General features: G+C 41.6%; 1 protein-coding gene and 1 long non-coding RNA gene across 12 annotated transcripts in view; one reads left to right on the plus strand and one right to left on the minus strand.

The window, feature by feature from the left end:
- The window catches only part of AGBL1 (AGBL carboxypeptidase 1), a 951,857-nt gene continuing 935,262 nt past the window's right edge, over positions 208–16,802 (plus strand). For 10 of the 11 annotated variants that reach the window (XR_007064423.1, XR_931751.4, XM_011521227.4 and 7 more), the window contains exon 1: positions 208–611. Coding sequence is in view for 9 of the 11 variants with exons in the window: in XM_011521227.4 (XP_011519529.1) it covers positions 561–611 (51 nt within the window). In the remaining 2 variants the exon portion in view is untranslated. The remainder of the gene's footprint in view (positions 612–16,802) is intronic. The other variant, NM_001386094.1, reaches the window with a different exon arrangement.
- Positions 3,933–16,802, minus strand: part of LINC01584 (long intergenic non-protein coding RNA 1584) — a 33,373-nt gene continuing 20,503 nt past the window's right edge. The window contains exons 4-6 of the long non-coding RNA NR_120368.1: positions 8,892–8,931; positions 6,838–6,961; positions 3,933–4,308 (exon numbers count right to left, since the gene is read on the minus strand). This is a non-coding gene — a long non-coding RNA (long intergenic non-protein coding RNA 1584). The remainder of the gene's footprint in view (positions 4,309–6,837; positions 6,962–8,891; positions 8,932–16,802) is intronic.

Consider the following 16,802-nt stretch of genomic DNA (forward strand, 5'->3'; position numbering starts at 1 on the left):
AATACTTATTTTCCTTTTCAGCCAGAGCTCCTGTTTCTAAGCCTGGGACCTCAGGGGGCCCTGGGTTTCTATGCCCTGAACTGCCACAGTTGTGCAAGCACTCTTGGGTCTCCTGTTACCCGGGAGCCGGCAACAGACCAAAATAAAGAGGTGGGGTGGGGTAGCGGGGCGGGCTGAGCGAGCCTCTAGAGGGAGTCTGACCAGGTCAGCTGGGAATGCCTGTCAGCCATCCAGGGTGGCTTCTCCTTTGCTCTGCTCCTGCATGGGCCTGGAGGTGGGTGAGTGACTCATGCTGGTGCCCTCCCCACCCCTGCACCCAAATGCTCAGCCCTCCCCACAGCAGGGGCTCACCTAATCCCCACAGTGGGAGTCGGTGGGTATTCACGCCTGTGCCGAGGTCTAGGGTTGCACCGCGCTGACTTCACACTCAGCAGCATGTGCAGCTGAGGCCTCCGGGCAGTCGTCTCCTGCGAGGCGGGCAGCGAGGTCAGCTTGGCAGCCGCTGCCTCTCCAGCCTGGATCTGGCCGCAGGCAGCGGTTCCCTAGGACCCGAGAAAAGGATGGCCGAACAAGAAGCTAGTGGGCTACAGGTCCTGCTGCACACGCTTCAGGTAGGAAAGGGTAGAGTGGGTGCAGAACCCGGCGGGCTGGGTGTTTGCCTGGGCTGGCCTGCCTGGGAGCTATGCACACAGTCCCCTCTGGCAGTCACTGGCCCAGTTTGTTAACAGCAAGAGAACAGGAGTCGGCTCTCACCTTGAAGCTGACCTAAGTGATGCTATGGAATTCAAATATTAAACACGACGATGTTGATGATTGTTCTGCTTAAATTATTGATCCTCGTGGGATCAGAGGCTCTGGGTAAAAGATCCGAGTTTTCTAGAAATGGGAAAGGTGGAGAAAAAGCCTGTTTGGCAAATGAAGGGGACCTGTTGAGGCTCCTCCTGAATAAGGCTGGAGACCTGCTGAGAGCATGCAGAGCTGTCTGGGAGGACAGGGTAGGTGAGGAGAGGACCCTTCTGGGTATCTCCTGCTAAATGGCTATCTTACTGGGCTCCCACATTGTAGTTACATCAGAATGGCCTGGGATGCCGACTATCAGTGCATTTTCCCAGGCAGGATCTGACTAGAAGGTGTTTGAATCATGTAGGGCAGTAGCCTGGGAAACTGCCTTCTCCCTGGGGGATGCTATTCATTCCTAATTTTGAGAATTCTTGTTCTACAGCAGTGGTTTGCAAACTTGTCTGCACATTAGAATCACCTGGAGAGGGTCAAAAAATACTCATGCTTGGGACCCACCCCCAAAGACATGGATTTAACTGATCTAGGGATCAATCCGAGCGTTAGAGTTTGAAAACTCCCCCGGGGTCTCCATGTAGATTTAAGGCTGAGAACCACTACTCTCTATGCTTGTAGTTAGCTGGATTCAGAGGATGCCAGTGTTCAAAAAGGCCCAAGGGGTCTTCTACCCCAGGAGTTTAAGCTGGAAGTTCCTGGAAGGGGTCACAAGATGATGGGCTTGTGGGGGCGGGGGGGGGTCCATGACCCCATTCCCCTGTTTAGAATATAAACATTTTGTACGTATTTTCCTTTTTCCCTGTTGGGAAAAATGTTCTTAATTTTCCTCTGATTGTTTTTGTTTTTATTTTGTTGAGACAGCGTCTCACTCTGTCGCCCAGGCTGGAGTGCAATGGTGTGATCTCGACTCACTACAACTTTTGCCTCCCAGGTTCAAGCAATTCTCCTGCCTCTGCCTCCCAAGTAGGTGGGATTATAGGCTCCTGCCACCATGCCTGGCTAATTTTTTGTATTTTTAGTAGAGATGGGGTTTCACCATGTCGGCCAGACTGGTCTCAAACTCCTGACCTCAGGTAATCCACCTCGGCCTCCCAAAATGCTGGGATTACAGGCGTGAGCCACTGTACCTGGCCATTTTTCTCTGATTCTTAAGAAGATTTGTATTCCTGAAAGTTTAAGAACCAATAAGTGCAACCTTCAGGTGTGCAGATAAGGAAACGGAATCTCAGAAGTGAAATAGGCTCCTTGATGTCAAATGGCTACATAGTAGGAGAACTGGGCCTTCAATATTCAGTTGACTTGGCGTCCTTTGACTCATTCTATCTGATTCATGCAAGGTGAGAATGTATCTGACCAGGGGTACTGGAGGCAGGAGTGGACCTCAAAAGAAATTTGCAAAATAAATCCAAGGATTTATTTGTATCTGGCTAGATTTATTTGATTTAATAACCAGGTACAATAAGCTGACATTCTGAGACCTCTTCTAATTTCTGAATAGTTGCATGGAGATCTTGATTAACTGATTCAAACAACTGAAAATATCTCATGGACAGAATTTTCCTTGCACTAGCTGTCTAGGAAAGAGGGAAAGTAATAAGTTGGTAATAGGGGTTCAGTAAAAATGAATGTCCTGTAGTCGGCCTCAAAGTCACTTCAGGTTGAACTCAATTGCCTGCATTCCCACCAGTGAGAATTGATAATTGATGTTTAGCATGATCACCCCGGGGCACTGCTAGATTCCCAATTATCAAAGAAAGATTTAATTATGTTCACTAGACTCTACTTAGTTCCCAATTAAGCAGAACATTATGATAACAGGAGCACGCTTCCTGTTTACTCCTCAGTTGATCAGAGTTTGGTTTAGAATTGACCTGGGTTCCTGGCCTGGCCTGCACCAAGTGCTTCCCTAAGCCCTGTTTCTGTCTCTACGGTAGAAGTCAGAACTCTGAAACGCTTTTTAAAAAAGAGAACCCAGAACATATATTCTGTGGAATAATCTTTCATGATGGATTTGATGTCCTGTCCCCATCCCTGCTCCCCATGGACTTAAACTAGGTGAGCTCACATTGTTTCTGAGAAAGGGTTAGCTGAACCTGTCTCAGTTGGGGATCCCAAAGATCTTACCAATTCAAACCAGTCTGTCTCTTCTTGTGCACAAGGTGACAGACAGAAGGCTTTGAATTGCTTCTCAAACCTTTGGGGAAAGCAGTGAATAAGTTTGAACCAAATGTGAGCTTAGGTCTCAGTTCCCATGTCTTTTAGGAGTGCCCCAAAAGGTTGCCAAGGGAAGGAAGAAAGAGATTGGAGGGACAGAAAAGGCAAACACAAGCATAACAGAATATCCCTGTGCTATGTTTGTGGATGTCCTCCTACTTAAGCATATCACCATTTCTGACTCTTTAGGGGCATAAAATAAACCGGGCCACTAAGAAACATCAGTTTTCTGTGTGTTAACTTTTTCCTGCACACATGAGGAAGGGGTAAGTGGTTTTCCCTACCACAACTTGAAAACAGCTTCTTTATCTCTGTCCCGAAGGTCTGAGAATCAGATTTCTACCCAGACATGTTCCAACTTCCTGGCCTTTACAGCGTGGGTGTGAGGCAGAAAATCAGACTGACTGATGTGGGTCTGGGTGAAGCAGGAGGCAGGCAGCCCACAGCACAGGTGCGAGAGGCAGAAAGGACTGGATCCAGCCCCTTGTCTGGCACTTACTCGGCTGTTTATCCTTATGAAAGTCCCTCGACCTCTCTGAGCCTCCATTTATGTAATCTGTAAAACAAGGGCCTTAAAAATACGTTCCTTAGCATTTCTGTGAGGATTAAGAGAATACATCTGAAAAGCGCTTGTAAACTCTAAATGGCTGTTTGAATGACTGTGGTTTTATGATTTCCCTCGTTGAGTATGCAGTGGAGAGGCTGGGAACACTTGCCTACACTTTTTGTCAACCTGCCTGGCTTTTTTCCTGGGTGGACTCCAATATACTTGGAAAAAAAAAAGAGGTGTCTCATTTGTCCTGCTCTCGTCTCTCCATGTGGTTTGAGCTAATGGAGAAGATGGGGAACTGCCAGCGTTGCAGGATGTGGGCTCCTTGCCAGCTCTGATGCCGTGGGCTGTCACCCAGCAGTGTCCCACAAAATGCCAGTTAAGTACGTTTATTGAAACATGAAAAATGCATAATTTTTCGGTCAGCTTTGGCACACTCTGCACTGTGATATGGGCACATTTTTGCCATTTCCATTTGTACTTTATTATTTTATGTGATAGCTGCTTAGATCAAACCCTGGTCTGCATCTTTGCCAAAATGTGCATAGTTAACTTCTTTTCTCAACTTGGGATCCAAGAACACCATCTATTATGGATTATGAATGAGGCTGCAGGATGTGGGGCTTCCTGTCTGGAGTAAGCCATGGAACTTAGATAACCTCGGCTGGGGTGACCAGTCCACTTCTCCCCCTTGGACTTGATCCTCCAGGGATTATTTCCAAGATGGCAGGTGATTTTTAGCTTCTGGGCTACAAATAGAGGAAGGGTAGAAAAATGATGACTGATATGTTTCATTCATAGCACTTGGGACTTCTGCTTCCAAAACATGTGTTTGAAATTTTCCCTTGTAGAACTCTCTGTAGAGGACATGGGAACATCCAACTATTGTATCCATAGGGTCAGGTGGAACAGACGCTGAGCTTTTCCCTTGGACTTAAACAGAAGGATTTGGACAATCAAGGGAAGAATTTTCCTTTAGATAGCAAACACTGTGTAGACTTTCCAAGGTTCCCTAGGAAGTTTGAGGCTTTCTGGGTTTGTTGGAGATACCTGCTTCAACCACAACTCAAACATAGAAACAAACTGAAAACTGTCTTAATTTCAAGCATTAGTAGAAGCAAAGAAAGAGGAAACCCTATAAGGATGAGGGCCAAGTGGACAAGAGACAAAATTGGCAAGAAATTACATCTGTCAGTGCCTTAGGAATGGCTTTGTGACAATCAACCTGGGTAGAGAAGGGATGATGACAGTGTGTAGGCGTATGCTGAGCTTTAAGTGGGGAGAACTCTTTATTTGGTGTTTTGTTTTTTAAGACCTCATTACTTTCACAGCTTCTTACATTTCTTGGAATTAGAGATTGGAGAAAATGAACAATTATTAAGGGTCCACTTGTGCCAGGCTTTTACCTCCACTACTTAACTTTCCTCTCTCTGCCACCTGTGAGGAAGATGTGGTTATTCTCCTGTCTTACAGATGAGGACACTGATGGTTAAGGAAAGGATAAGCTGCTCAAGGCTTAAGGACAGAAACTTAGTAAACCCTGAGATAAGAGATGTGAGGCAGGTTTTGTTCCCCTAAAGCCTTTTCACTGGTTTGCATTGCTTAAGAAACCTATGGAATATTCACTTATTCTTTATTTTGAGGATATTACCTTCATCTGACTAAACCTGAAGGTTGGGGCAATATGAATTTTCTACAGTAGAGGAAGGCTTATTTATAACTGATATCATCTCCCACTTCCTGATTTGGTGTGGGGGTAAGGAACTCCTGATGAAGGAAGGTAATATTTTGGATTTGGGTCAACTGGATGTTTTCAATATCCATCTATCCATCTGTATATTCACTCATCCACCCATTCATTTATCCATCCATCCATCCATCCCATTTACCTGTTCATCCACCCATCCACCTATCCATTCATTCGCCTAGCCATAGCTTTCTATGTGCTGGAAGAGATGTGTAAAAATGAGAATTATAACCCCTACTTATTGATTTTTTATAAGTTTAGAGAAAATTTATAAGAAGTGGTAAGCATATTGGTACATGCCCAATAAGTAGGAGCACTTATTGTAATGAAATACAGTCACTGCCTTCATGAAAATGTGGTATAGGAGCTAGGAGGAAGAAAGAAAATTATTCATAAAGCAAGTTTGCATGTGATGAATGCCATGGTAAAGGTAAACATCAAAAGAAAATTTTATGGAAGTTGGGGGAAGAAACCTCTCCTGATTAGAGATTCAGGGAAGGCCTTGGAAAATGGGTCTAATTTCAGCAGGGGGAGGTACATTTACCAGGATGAGGAGGGTGCCTAGTGATCTTCCCCCGGTCATGGCGGGGGTGGGGATTTGTCATGGCATGGAGTTTGATTTAAAATGACAGTTCATGAAGGGGAAGAAATAAGATGGAGATGGAAGTTTGGCCAAATGCTGGAGGGTCTTGAGTGGCAAGCTTCAGGTCCAACCATGCCCTTGGTAATGGCTGCCTATTCCTGCGTGTGAGTGGTGGAGTTGCAAGACAGTCAACCAAGGTGATAATTGCAGAGCTCTTTGGACTAGGAACATTGGACATGACTGCTGATGTAATGTGATCTGTTTTAATTCCCCATTCCTGACCAGGCTTTTGTCACTGGACTTCTTCCTATACCTGTTCCCAACTCTTAGTCCCAGCCTTCAGCCCCTCCTGTCGCTTACCTCATCCTAGTATCTCAGCTCATCCTGAGCCTCTCTCTAACCCTAGGAGGAAGGGCTGGGATGAACTGAGGCTCAGGGATTGGGGCAGGAGAACTGTTCTACAACACTTGATTTTTGTTGTTGTTGTTGTTTTTAATTTGTTATTTTAGGGGCAGCATTCAGATAGCATTCAGATGTCCTTGCATCAAAGCAGCTCTGACAGCATGGCTGAATTAACCAGAGTTGAGTCAAAAAGTCTCATCCCCACTCTCAAATTGAGAGCAGTTGGCATTTCCATCTTCTGAGCCCAGATTTTGGATCTGTCTCCCTGAACACCCACCTCTGCAGGGCAGAGGGTGGACAGGGGACCAGTGGTGCTTTGAGGTGTAATTGGAAATGCAGTGATGCAATGAGGTGCATTGCTGGTGATATGCTGAGGCAAATGGCCAACAGCGACCCACGCCTACAGCAGAAAGCCATCACTTGGCAATATTTACTCCACAATTTACTCAGTTTCTAAAACTGGAACTGATCTTATGAGAACCAAACACAGCCCCAGTTCCAGCCCTGGGAGATGGGGATGAGAACTTGGTCTCGGTTATCAATTACTGTATCTGCAGTTGTGGAACAGGCAGCTATGAATCAAACAGACTGGACACCTCTTCATATTTCAGAAATGGGTGTATGGAAATGCATCCTCTTGGGTGTGAGTCCCATCTCCTTTACGCCAGGCCTGAAATAAAGAAAGTGGAGGGTTTGTGGGGTCTGTGCTTTTTCACTGAGCAAATACTGCATGGTTCCTTCAAAGCCATAGGTCTGCAAATCAGGTTCTTGTTAGAGAAAAAGATGATATGAGACAAGGGAGCATTCAAGGTCAAGAGCTAGGAACAAAAGAATGAATATAAAACAGGGCATGATAGAAAACAGAATGGCAAAGCGTATGTGCTCAATATGTCTCCCTTCCTCTCTCCCTCCCTCCTTTCTTTCTTTTTTCTCTCCTTTCTGCTTTTTGGTAACTTTTTACAAACTGAATACATCTATGGAGTAACCTACAGTAACATGGAGGAATCGCACAAAGTTAAGCAAATAAGTTGCTTAAATTTGTGCATATAAGTTGCTTAACTTTGTGCGATTCCTTCATGTTGCCATATATTGTTGTAGATGGTTCGTTCTGATTGCCCAATAGCATGCCATTGTGTGAATATCTTTATCCATTCTGGAGTTGGTGATATTTGGGGTAGTTTCCAATTTGGGGCTATAATGAAATAGTGCTGCTTTGCACATTCCAGTACATGTCTTTGTGAACAAATGTATGCCTGTCTGTTGAGTATATATCTAGGGGTGAAGTTGTGGGATGCTAGGGTGCACCTATGTTCAGCTTTATAGATAACAACAAATGGTTTTCAAAAATGGTAGCTCCAAAACAAATATCTATTAGCCACATAGATACCATTAGCTAGCGAAAGCACTGGATATTACTCCAAAACTTGTTTAACACATATTTGTTAGTTGAAAGTGATTTGAGATGCCCTGCATTAAGGGACTACTCATAGCATTTATTTCTTTTGTGTTCAGTTCCCTCTTCTTGGTCCTTTTCATAATAGCTAAAATAATAACTAACATTTCTGAAACAGCTTCTGCAAGTCAGGAGCTATGCAAAGTTTTTCACATGCATTGTCTCATTTAATGGGCTTTTTTTTTTTTTTTTGACATTGTCTTGCTCTTTCACCCAGGCTGGAGTGCAGTGGCACGATCTCGGCTCACTGCAATCTCTGCCTCCCACATTCAAGCGATTCTCCTGCCTCAGACTCCTGAGTAGCTGGGATTATAGGTGCACACCACCATCCCTAGCTAATTTTTGTATTTTTAGTAGAGGCTGGGTTTTACCATGTTGGCCAGAGCTGGTCTGGAACTCCTGACCTCAAGTGATCTGCCCTCCTCAGCCTCCCAAAGTGCTGGGATTACAGGCGTGAGCCACTGCACCCCGCCCTCATTTAATCTTTGCAACAATCCTAAGGCAGTTAATATTATCCTCATTTTAAAGCTTTAAAATGGAAGATTGGAGAGGTTAGTGAATTTTCCTTGATCACAGAGTGAACAAGTGGCATAGCTGGAATTTGAGCAGAGGGAATCTCATACCAGCAGAAGTGCCCTCACCAGGTGCATTAACTCTCTAAGGAAAAGGAAGGGCATTTGGAAGATTGTCAATAGATTTCCTCAGGTGTAAGTGTCTGCTGGGGAAAGATGGAGACCCTCACCTAGCACAGTCAGCAAGGACAGTAGCTGTCTCCACAGGCTGGAAGGACTGGCCAAAAGGGTGCAGAACAGGTGCCCAGAACAGGGATCAGCATTCTTTCTGCAAAGGGCCAGATGGCAAGTTTTCAGGCTTTGTAGGCCATACAGGGGATCCCTGTTGCAACTACTCAACCCTGCCACTGCAGCTGTAGACAACATGCAAATGAATGGGTATGCCTGTGTTCCAGTGGAACTTTATTTGGAAAACAGTCAGTGGGTTAGATTTGGCCCACAGGCCATAGTTTGTTACCCCTGGCCTGAAGGCCTTTGAATCACAAGCCTGGTGTAAGGGTGGGAGACGGAGTGGAAAGGTAGTGATGGAGCACGAGGTGGTAATTGCTGCGGCAAACTGCCAAGTAGGAACTTACCTCTCTGTGGTGGATGTTCTCAACTCCCAGGGTGCCCTTCCTGTAAAAGCAACAGATCAAACCATGCCTCTGGGTGCAAGTCTTGGAGAACCTGAACTATGCAGTTCAGAGTCCTGAGACTCCGGCTGCTGCCACAGCTTTTCTGGCTATCAGTGGAGAAAGTGCTGGTATCCGTTAGCCCACTGGGGGTGGGCTTTCAGGTTATTTCATCAGCATTTATGTGTGATGGGGGACTATTATGCAGATAATGGTCTGCATTCAACAGCACTAGAATCCCAAGATAAAACCAGAACTTCTCAAACTGGGTTCCAAAGAACACTAGTGTTCCCTGGGATGCCAGTGGGTGTGCCACTCAAAAAGCGTTGTGGAAACAGATGGATTTGAAATGTCAGGATAAATTTACTATATTTCTTTACTAAAGAATCTTCATTTTTTAAAAAATCTTTAAAGACACTCATGGTTTTCAATTCTCAGTTTAAATACCTTGTACTCAGAGAGGATTTCTCTGACAGCCCAATTAGCTACCGGGTCACTGTATGCCCCACCTCTCTCATTTACTTGTCTGCATATTCTCTAATATTTGTTTTTGTGCTCCTTTTCTTCTTCCATCATGGTTGGAATCTTATCTGTCTTGCTTACTCTTTTTCCATACTACCTAAAGCACTGTCTGGTACATGGTAGGTGCTCAATAAATGTTTGTTGATTGACTAATAAAATGAATGTGCATAGTATATTAATAAGTTTGAGACATAATATATGTCATTTTGAAACCATCTTGGAAATAAAAATTTTTTTGGCAAAACCCACTAGTATTTCATAGGACATTAGGGATCCATGGAACACATTTGGCAAATAATGGTTTTAGACCAATGCCATGTTATATCTCTGCTTGCTTGTGACTGTTGACTTTCTCTTGGTTTGGAAACTGGTTTCAGCATGTTATAACTGTTCTGATGTGAGTGGATTTGAAGTTAGTTCTATGGGAAACCCAGGGTCATTCCTCTGCTTGGTGAATACCACCAGCTAATGACCCTACAACCAGTCTGCAGGCCTTGCATTGACATGAATTCTGGTCCTTACTTGATTGGGATAAAATAATATAAGCAATAGATGTGGAGGTTTAGAGAAGAGTTCTTTCTAGAGGCTCAAGAGAGCCATTCTGATTCTGATCAGGAGGCCATATGGCGATAAGGATAGCTTTAGCTTCAGGTTTCACATTAAAGGCAGGGTCAGATTTCACAGACACAGCATCTGAGGAAGCTTTTCCTAGGGGATTTGGAGAAAAGCAGCTTTTCTAATGAATGGTCAGCAATGAATTCTCCCCTCACCCTTCCCCTGACCAATTCCCCGAAAACAATGCATGTTAACATTTCTAATCTCCAGATCCCACCAATCGGTGCTAGCTCAATGCCCTACAGTTTCGACCCAGAGCATCTATATCCCAGCCCTCTAAAGACAGAATTAAGCCAACCAGTCCTGAGGATAATGCAGATACCCTTTACTTTTCATATTTAGATTAAGAGGACACTATAAGCAAATCCCACTTTCCCTTTGACTTTAATTGCACCAACTTAATATGTTCTAAAGGAAAAAAAATGCCCCAAATGACAACTAAATTTTTGCACTGCAGAAGAGGTTAAGATGATAATATTTGAAGAAAAATGGGCATTACAATTCAAGAAGTGTTTTTGTCAGGAACCCCTCACATTTGTCGAGTACTTACTATGTACCAGGAAATAGCCTAAGTATTTTTCCCGTCTTCTCTTACATAACCTCACAACAATCCTATGAGGAATATATGGCTACTTTCCCCATTTTATAGATAAAGAACACCAGGTATTTGCTTTAGTTCTTGCAGTATTTAAGTAGCAGTCGCAATTTAAACACTGGCAGTCTGACTCCAGATTCCATTCCATTCCATTCACCAGTCTACAGCATCCCTTTTGTTTTTACCTGTCCTTTCTCCACTAAACATATTTTTCTGTAAAGGTAATACCTGTTCACTATTTGTAAAAAAATTTAATTAATATGTAGATGTAAATTATAGGGAGGAAAAATCCCCCTATTAGATTCTACTTCCTAAGACAACTTCGTAAGCACTTGCTAAGTATTCTTTTAGATGTTTATATACATATAGCAATGAGATGTTTCTATCATTATATACCTATATCTTTATCATTTTTACACACTGCTATTCAATTTGCTTTTCCTGCATACCAATGTACTTGAACATTTTTCATGCCAAGACATATAGCCAGCTTAACCTTGTGTGATAGTTATATCATTTTTTAGTTCATGGTTGTACCATAATTTAAATAAATAGAAGTACGTTTTCTTCTAGCATTTCACTTGGGCTTGACTTTGTTTATGCTCTTTATTTTTTGATATTATATATGTCACTTTTTAATAGTGAAATTTACCAAACTTTTCTTTAATGGATTATTTTTGCTGCAAAGCTTTTCCCCCATGATCTAACTCTTATACTTAATGATGTTTGAGTTTCACACCATATCATTTCCTTTTTCTTATATCTTGTTGCTTTCATAGAGCTTCTCTGCCATACTACTATTCACTTGCTTATGCCAAGAGTCAACACATTTATGGCTTTAAAATTTCTTTTACTGGAAGGCCTCATTTCTGTACCACCCAATAGAGCTCTGCAATGATAACATTTGAAAGTTTGAAATCTGATATACCTATTTATTTAAATTAACATATATAGGTTTCTTGGCTGGGCTTTAGGAAGGCCAAAGTTGATTTTGGGTACTGCCACCGACTTTCTGGTTGACTTGAATCCTATGGGTCAGCATCTTCTCTGTCTTGACATCAGTGCTAGGAGATTTGCCTAGCAATATAATCTGTTTCTTTGGCATATTATTATTTTCTTGTTATTGTTCATATGTCTATTAAATGCCTCCCTGTGCCAGGGAGTGGAAAGTAGTGGGTGGAAAGGTTTTCAGAATTTTATCAGCAGACGCTTTCCTACTGAAATTCTTTCAAATGCTAATGTCTGATGTCAGGAAGAAAGAGATCCAGAATGTTGTGGTAACTCTTGACCCCCTTTGCTCTTTGACCTCTCTATTCTGTGGTGACCAACTGAGGACACACTAGCATCATGACTCCAAGTCTCTTGGGGAAGATCAGAACACTCAGCAGCTGTAACATGTTTAGCTATGCCTATGCATTTCTGTCTGCCTATGCAGTTATGCCTAGGCCTATGAAGTTATCAATTCATACACTGCAAGGCAGTGAGTCATAAGTTTTTGTTTTTCTTTTTTAATCCCACAGATACCCTTTGAAAGCTAAAGACACTTTTCCCAGATAGATATACATAAAAACTTGTGAACAATTCAGGGCAATAAGCCACTTGATCAGGTTTAAGTTTTCCCAGGTATACACTTCTTGGGTTTTGTCTCAGCGAATGAAGCTCTTAAAGGTCAGAATAATACAGCAACTTCCAGTAAAATAAATCTCACAATTTTTTTTCCAATTATATATCTCTCATGTATCTGTACTGGACACAATATTCTTCCTATGTCCATATCCCAACTTGGTCTTGGACATCTTTCATACTTGATTTGTTCTTGTGAAAGTCATAAGTACCTTTGATGGATCAACTAAAATGTTACTTTTCAAAAAAAGCCTTTTCTGACAATCTAAACTAGGTGGTATATCTCTCTTCTCCAAAGTTGCACCCAAGCATTTGTACCTCTCTCTTGAATCATCTATGATTTACTTGCTTATAAAAATAGTTGTCCTTCATCTATTCAACAAACCCTTACTAGGCATTGAGAACCTCAAAATAAATATAACATGGTTCTTGTCCTCCCAGATATGAAGAATCACATATACGTTTGAAAGTCTCCAGAAAATTAAAAACTCTCCCCCTAGATAAGCATACACATGCACTTAAACCAAACATTTGAATCTCAGAAGATTTGTCCACAACTAGATTGAGAACCTATGCCATGTGATTGTTTGAGTAAATACATGAACAAATAGTTATAAAGCATTATTACAAATGAAGCAGTAGCAATGTTCCCAGTGTATTTTTTAAAGAGGGGGGATCTCAGTTGATCTCTAACCTTCCATGAACCTCTGCTCTTAAATAATGGTAGGTTAGATATTTCAGACCAACCACTGAACTTTAGATAATTAAAAAATGTGGATAAAATATAAAATTTTTATTCTAAAAATCAATGTTCTAATGATAAAATGAGCTTGTAATGGATTGAAGTCAAGAGAGGTGAGAAACTCAGGGAAAAGAGCAAAACTCTGGTATTTTTGCCTCAGTCTTAGTCCATTTTGTGCTGCAGTAACAGAGTACCAAAAACTAGACAATTTAAAATGAACGGAAATTTATTGGCTCATAGTTCTAGAGCCTGGGAATTCCAAGATCAAGGGGCTGGCATCTGACCAGGACCTTCATGCTGCATCATGATGTGATAGAAGGCATCACATGATGGAAAGCCAAAGAGAGGGAGAGTGAGAGCAAGAGAGGGTCAAATTCCTCCTTTTCTAAGAAACTCACTCCCGAGATAATAAACCTACTCCTCCAATAATGGCATTAATTCCTTCATGAGAGAAGAAACCTCATTGCCTAATTATCTCTTATAGGTTCTATCCCTTAATACAATTGCATTGGGGATTAGGTTTCTAACACATGGTTTTTGGGAAACACATTCAAATAATAGCAGCTTCGGAAGTATTTACTGTTTTGGAAGGTGCCTGGGAAGGTTGAATTGTATATTCGGTGACCTTGCTCATCTAGGATAACAAGAACAATATAGAGCTTTCCAAGAATGGAGACCGTAGTGATCCACTCCCTGCTTTAGGGCTGAGACCTGAAGGACTGCTCTCTAGAAGTTAAAGTGAACCACACACAAGCTAGTCTTCACATAGAGCCATTCTTCAACTCTTCTGGGTGACCCAGAAAATTTGAAGACTTGAAAAGGTGGTCTCAGCTGTCTAAAAATCCTAAGTACCTGCTAGTTGCAAGTTAAAAACATCATTGGTGGAAGAAAATGTCATATGAGGCCCTGTATTAATTCTACAAGTGATTTAAAAACCAGGCATTAGAGGGAGATAAGCTAATATGGGTGGGTAAACACCAGAAGAAATAATACATGATGGAATTAGATCCACCAGTACCCCAGAAACTGAAAATACTGCACATAGAATGTAAGAGAACTGGTTACTGTGGTCAAAGAGATAGAAGCTAAGTTTGAAATTTTTGACAGTGAACTACAATCTACAAGAAGTGATAAAGTAGATTTGAAGAGGAACTATTAATCAGTAGAAGTTCTTGAACTAAAAAATAAAAGAACCAAAACGAACAGCTCAATAGATAGGTTTAACTGCAGATTAGACTTGGCCAAAGAAAGAATTGAAAATCAGGTCATAAGAGACTATACAGAAGGAAGCAGAGAAAGTCAAAATAATTGAACATGCTGAAGGGCAGGCAAGATACACAGAGTGAGAAGGTTGGACATACATTTAATTGGAGTTCTGGAAGGGAAGCAGAGAATGAGGCAGCAACAATATTTAAAGAGACAATGAGAGAGAGCCCTTCAATATACTGATAATATTCTATGACAATAGCAACAGCATCTTACTGAAGTCTATATTCCCTGAAATACTGCCTTTAAGTGTCTGTTGAATTTGTTAGGTGAGGAAACATTCCGATTACATTCTAATCTAGTATTGTATCTTTGAAATTATATCAAAAGTTCTTTCAAAATGTTATACTCTTTAAAATAATATCAGACAATGTGAACTACTGTCTGATGTGGATATGTGTTCAAATATTTGAATCTCTATATTTGCAGTCGTTACTTCAAAAATTAGAGCTAAATCTATAATTGACACTATAAAGTTTAAGCTCTCATTTATAAGCTTGTGATTAATTTTCGACCAAAACTCTCCCTAAACTCATATATGTTATCTATGATAATACTCTATTTGATTTCTTACAATGTAAATTTTGTAGCAGCCTTTGGCATTGAGTTAAATATTCTAACCTGATCACAGGTAATTAAAACATTAATATTTACTTGCTTTTGCCTTGTCCTCTTTAATGACATGGTATTTTGATAACTTTCTATTTAATTTGAAATAGAGAAGAAAAATGATGTTTTGTAGCTTCCCTGGGAAGCAGATTCTGAGACAAAGATTTTCATGCAGGAAGTTTATTGGGGGAGTGCCTGGATCTACATGTGGGATCATGAAGGAAGTAGGATTGGGCAGAGGGGAGATTGATCTGCAATGTAGTCACAACAGAGGCTCCAGATGATTCCACACCGAGCTCTGGAACTTAGATGGTCCTTCAGCAGTCATCTAATCCTACAGCAAAGGGGTTGAGGCTGTACACCTTCTCCCCTGCATCATTGACCAGTCATTGGATGAAGGCTGCTTCCAGATATGGGACATGGCTACTATGATCTGTTTGTATCAATATAGCACTTCTGATATCAAATGTGTGAGGTGGTTCCCACACCAACAACCAACTCTTCAACTTTCTGGATGCCACCTGGGTATCCTACCTTTAACTTCAATTCTGATCCTAACTACCTGGAGTTAGCATCAGATCTCACAAGTTAAGGGCTTAATCCCATGAGACTGCTTCTACTTCAGATGCCAATCACCTGAAACTTCCGACCAATTGGCTTCATAGCCAGGGAGTTCCCACAGCTCCGTCTTCAGGTTTGATAATTTGCTAGAACAGCTCCCAGAACTCAGGAAAGCACTTTTATTTACATTTACCAGTTTATGATAGAGGATAAAAATGAATAGTCAGATGGAGAGGTACATAGAGGAGGTCTGGAAAGTCCTGAGTGCAGGAACATTAGTCCCAGGAAGTTAGGGTGCACCACCCTACTAGCAGGTGGATGTGTTCAACAACCTGGAAGTACTCTGAACCCCATCATTTAAGGTTTTTATGTAGGCTCCATTGCATAGGCCTGACTGATTGACTCATTGGCCTTTGGCAGTTACTTTGATCTCCAGTCCCTCTCCTTTCCCTGGAGGTTGGGAGGTGAGGCTGAAAGTTCCAACCCTCCAACTATGTCTTAGTCTTTCTGGCAACCAGAGTCCATCCTGAATCTGTCTAGGGTCCTCCAGTCACCAGCCATCTCATTAGCATACAAAAAGACACTCTTAGCACTCTGGAGATTCCAAGGGTCTTAGAAGCTCTGTGTCAGGGACCAGGGACTAAGACCAAATATTATAACAAAAGATACTCCTATCATTCAGGAAGTTAGAAGGATTTTTCCGTGCCAGGAACTGGGGATGAAGACCAAATATATATTTTTTACCATATCATAATGTCACATGACCTTGGATACCTTTTTTTTTTTTTTTTTTTTTTTTTTTTACCTTACAGCAATTCCCAGAAGATACTGCTGAGAGCTGTTGGTCACTAATACTCTCTGTGGTTGGGGGGATAATTGCCTCAGTTCTGAAGGGGAGACCTTGGAGGAACATGTCCAGCATCCACTACATGTGATTACTGATAAGACTGAGCATCATGAGACATGGGCTTAAATCTTGGCTTTGCTATTAATTGGCTATGTGACCTTAGGCAAGCCATGTAACATTCTAGGAAATAATTTCCTCATCTATAAAATAAGTGGTAGTGAAGAGATCAGTTTTTCCTAAACTTTAATCATTTGCAGACTACTTTTATATTTTTTTTCATATTTTTGGTTCAACTAAACTATTGTTTACTTAACATTATTCCCGTAAATTTATACATTAAAATTTTTTTGTTTCTTTTTCTAGAACTGCATGTCAAAAATGTAATCATTTTAACTTAACATTATTTAAGGTGAAACTTTTTATATAGCCATAGTATAGCAGTAGCACTTAGCACATACAGGAAGTAGCCACAAAAATACATGGAATATAAACACA

This window comes from Homo sapiens, chromosome 15 (assembly GCF_000001405.40).
Source record: "Homo sapiens chromosome 15, GRCh38.p14 Primary Assembly".
NCBI lineage: Eukaryota > Metazoa > Chordata > Mammalia > Primates > Hominidae > Homo > Homo sapiens.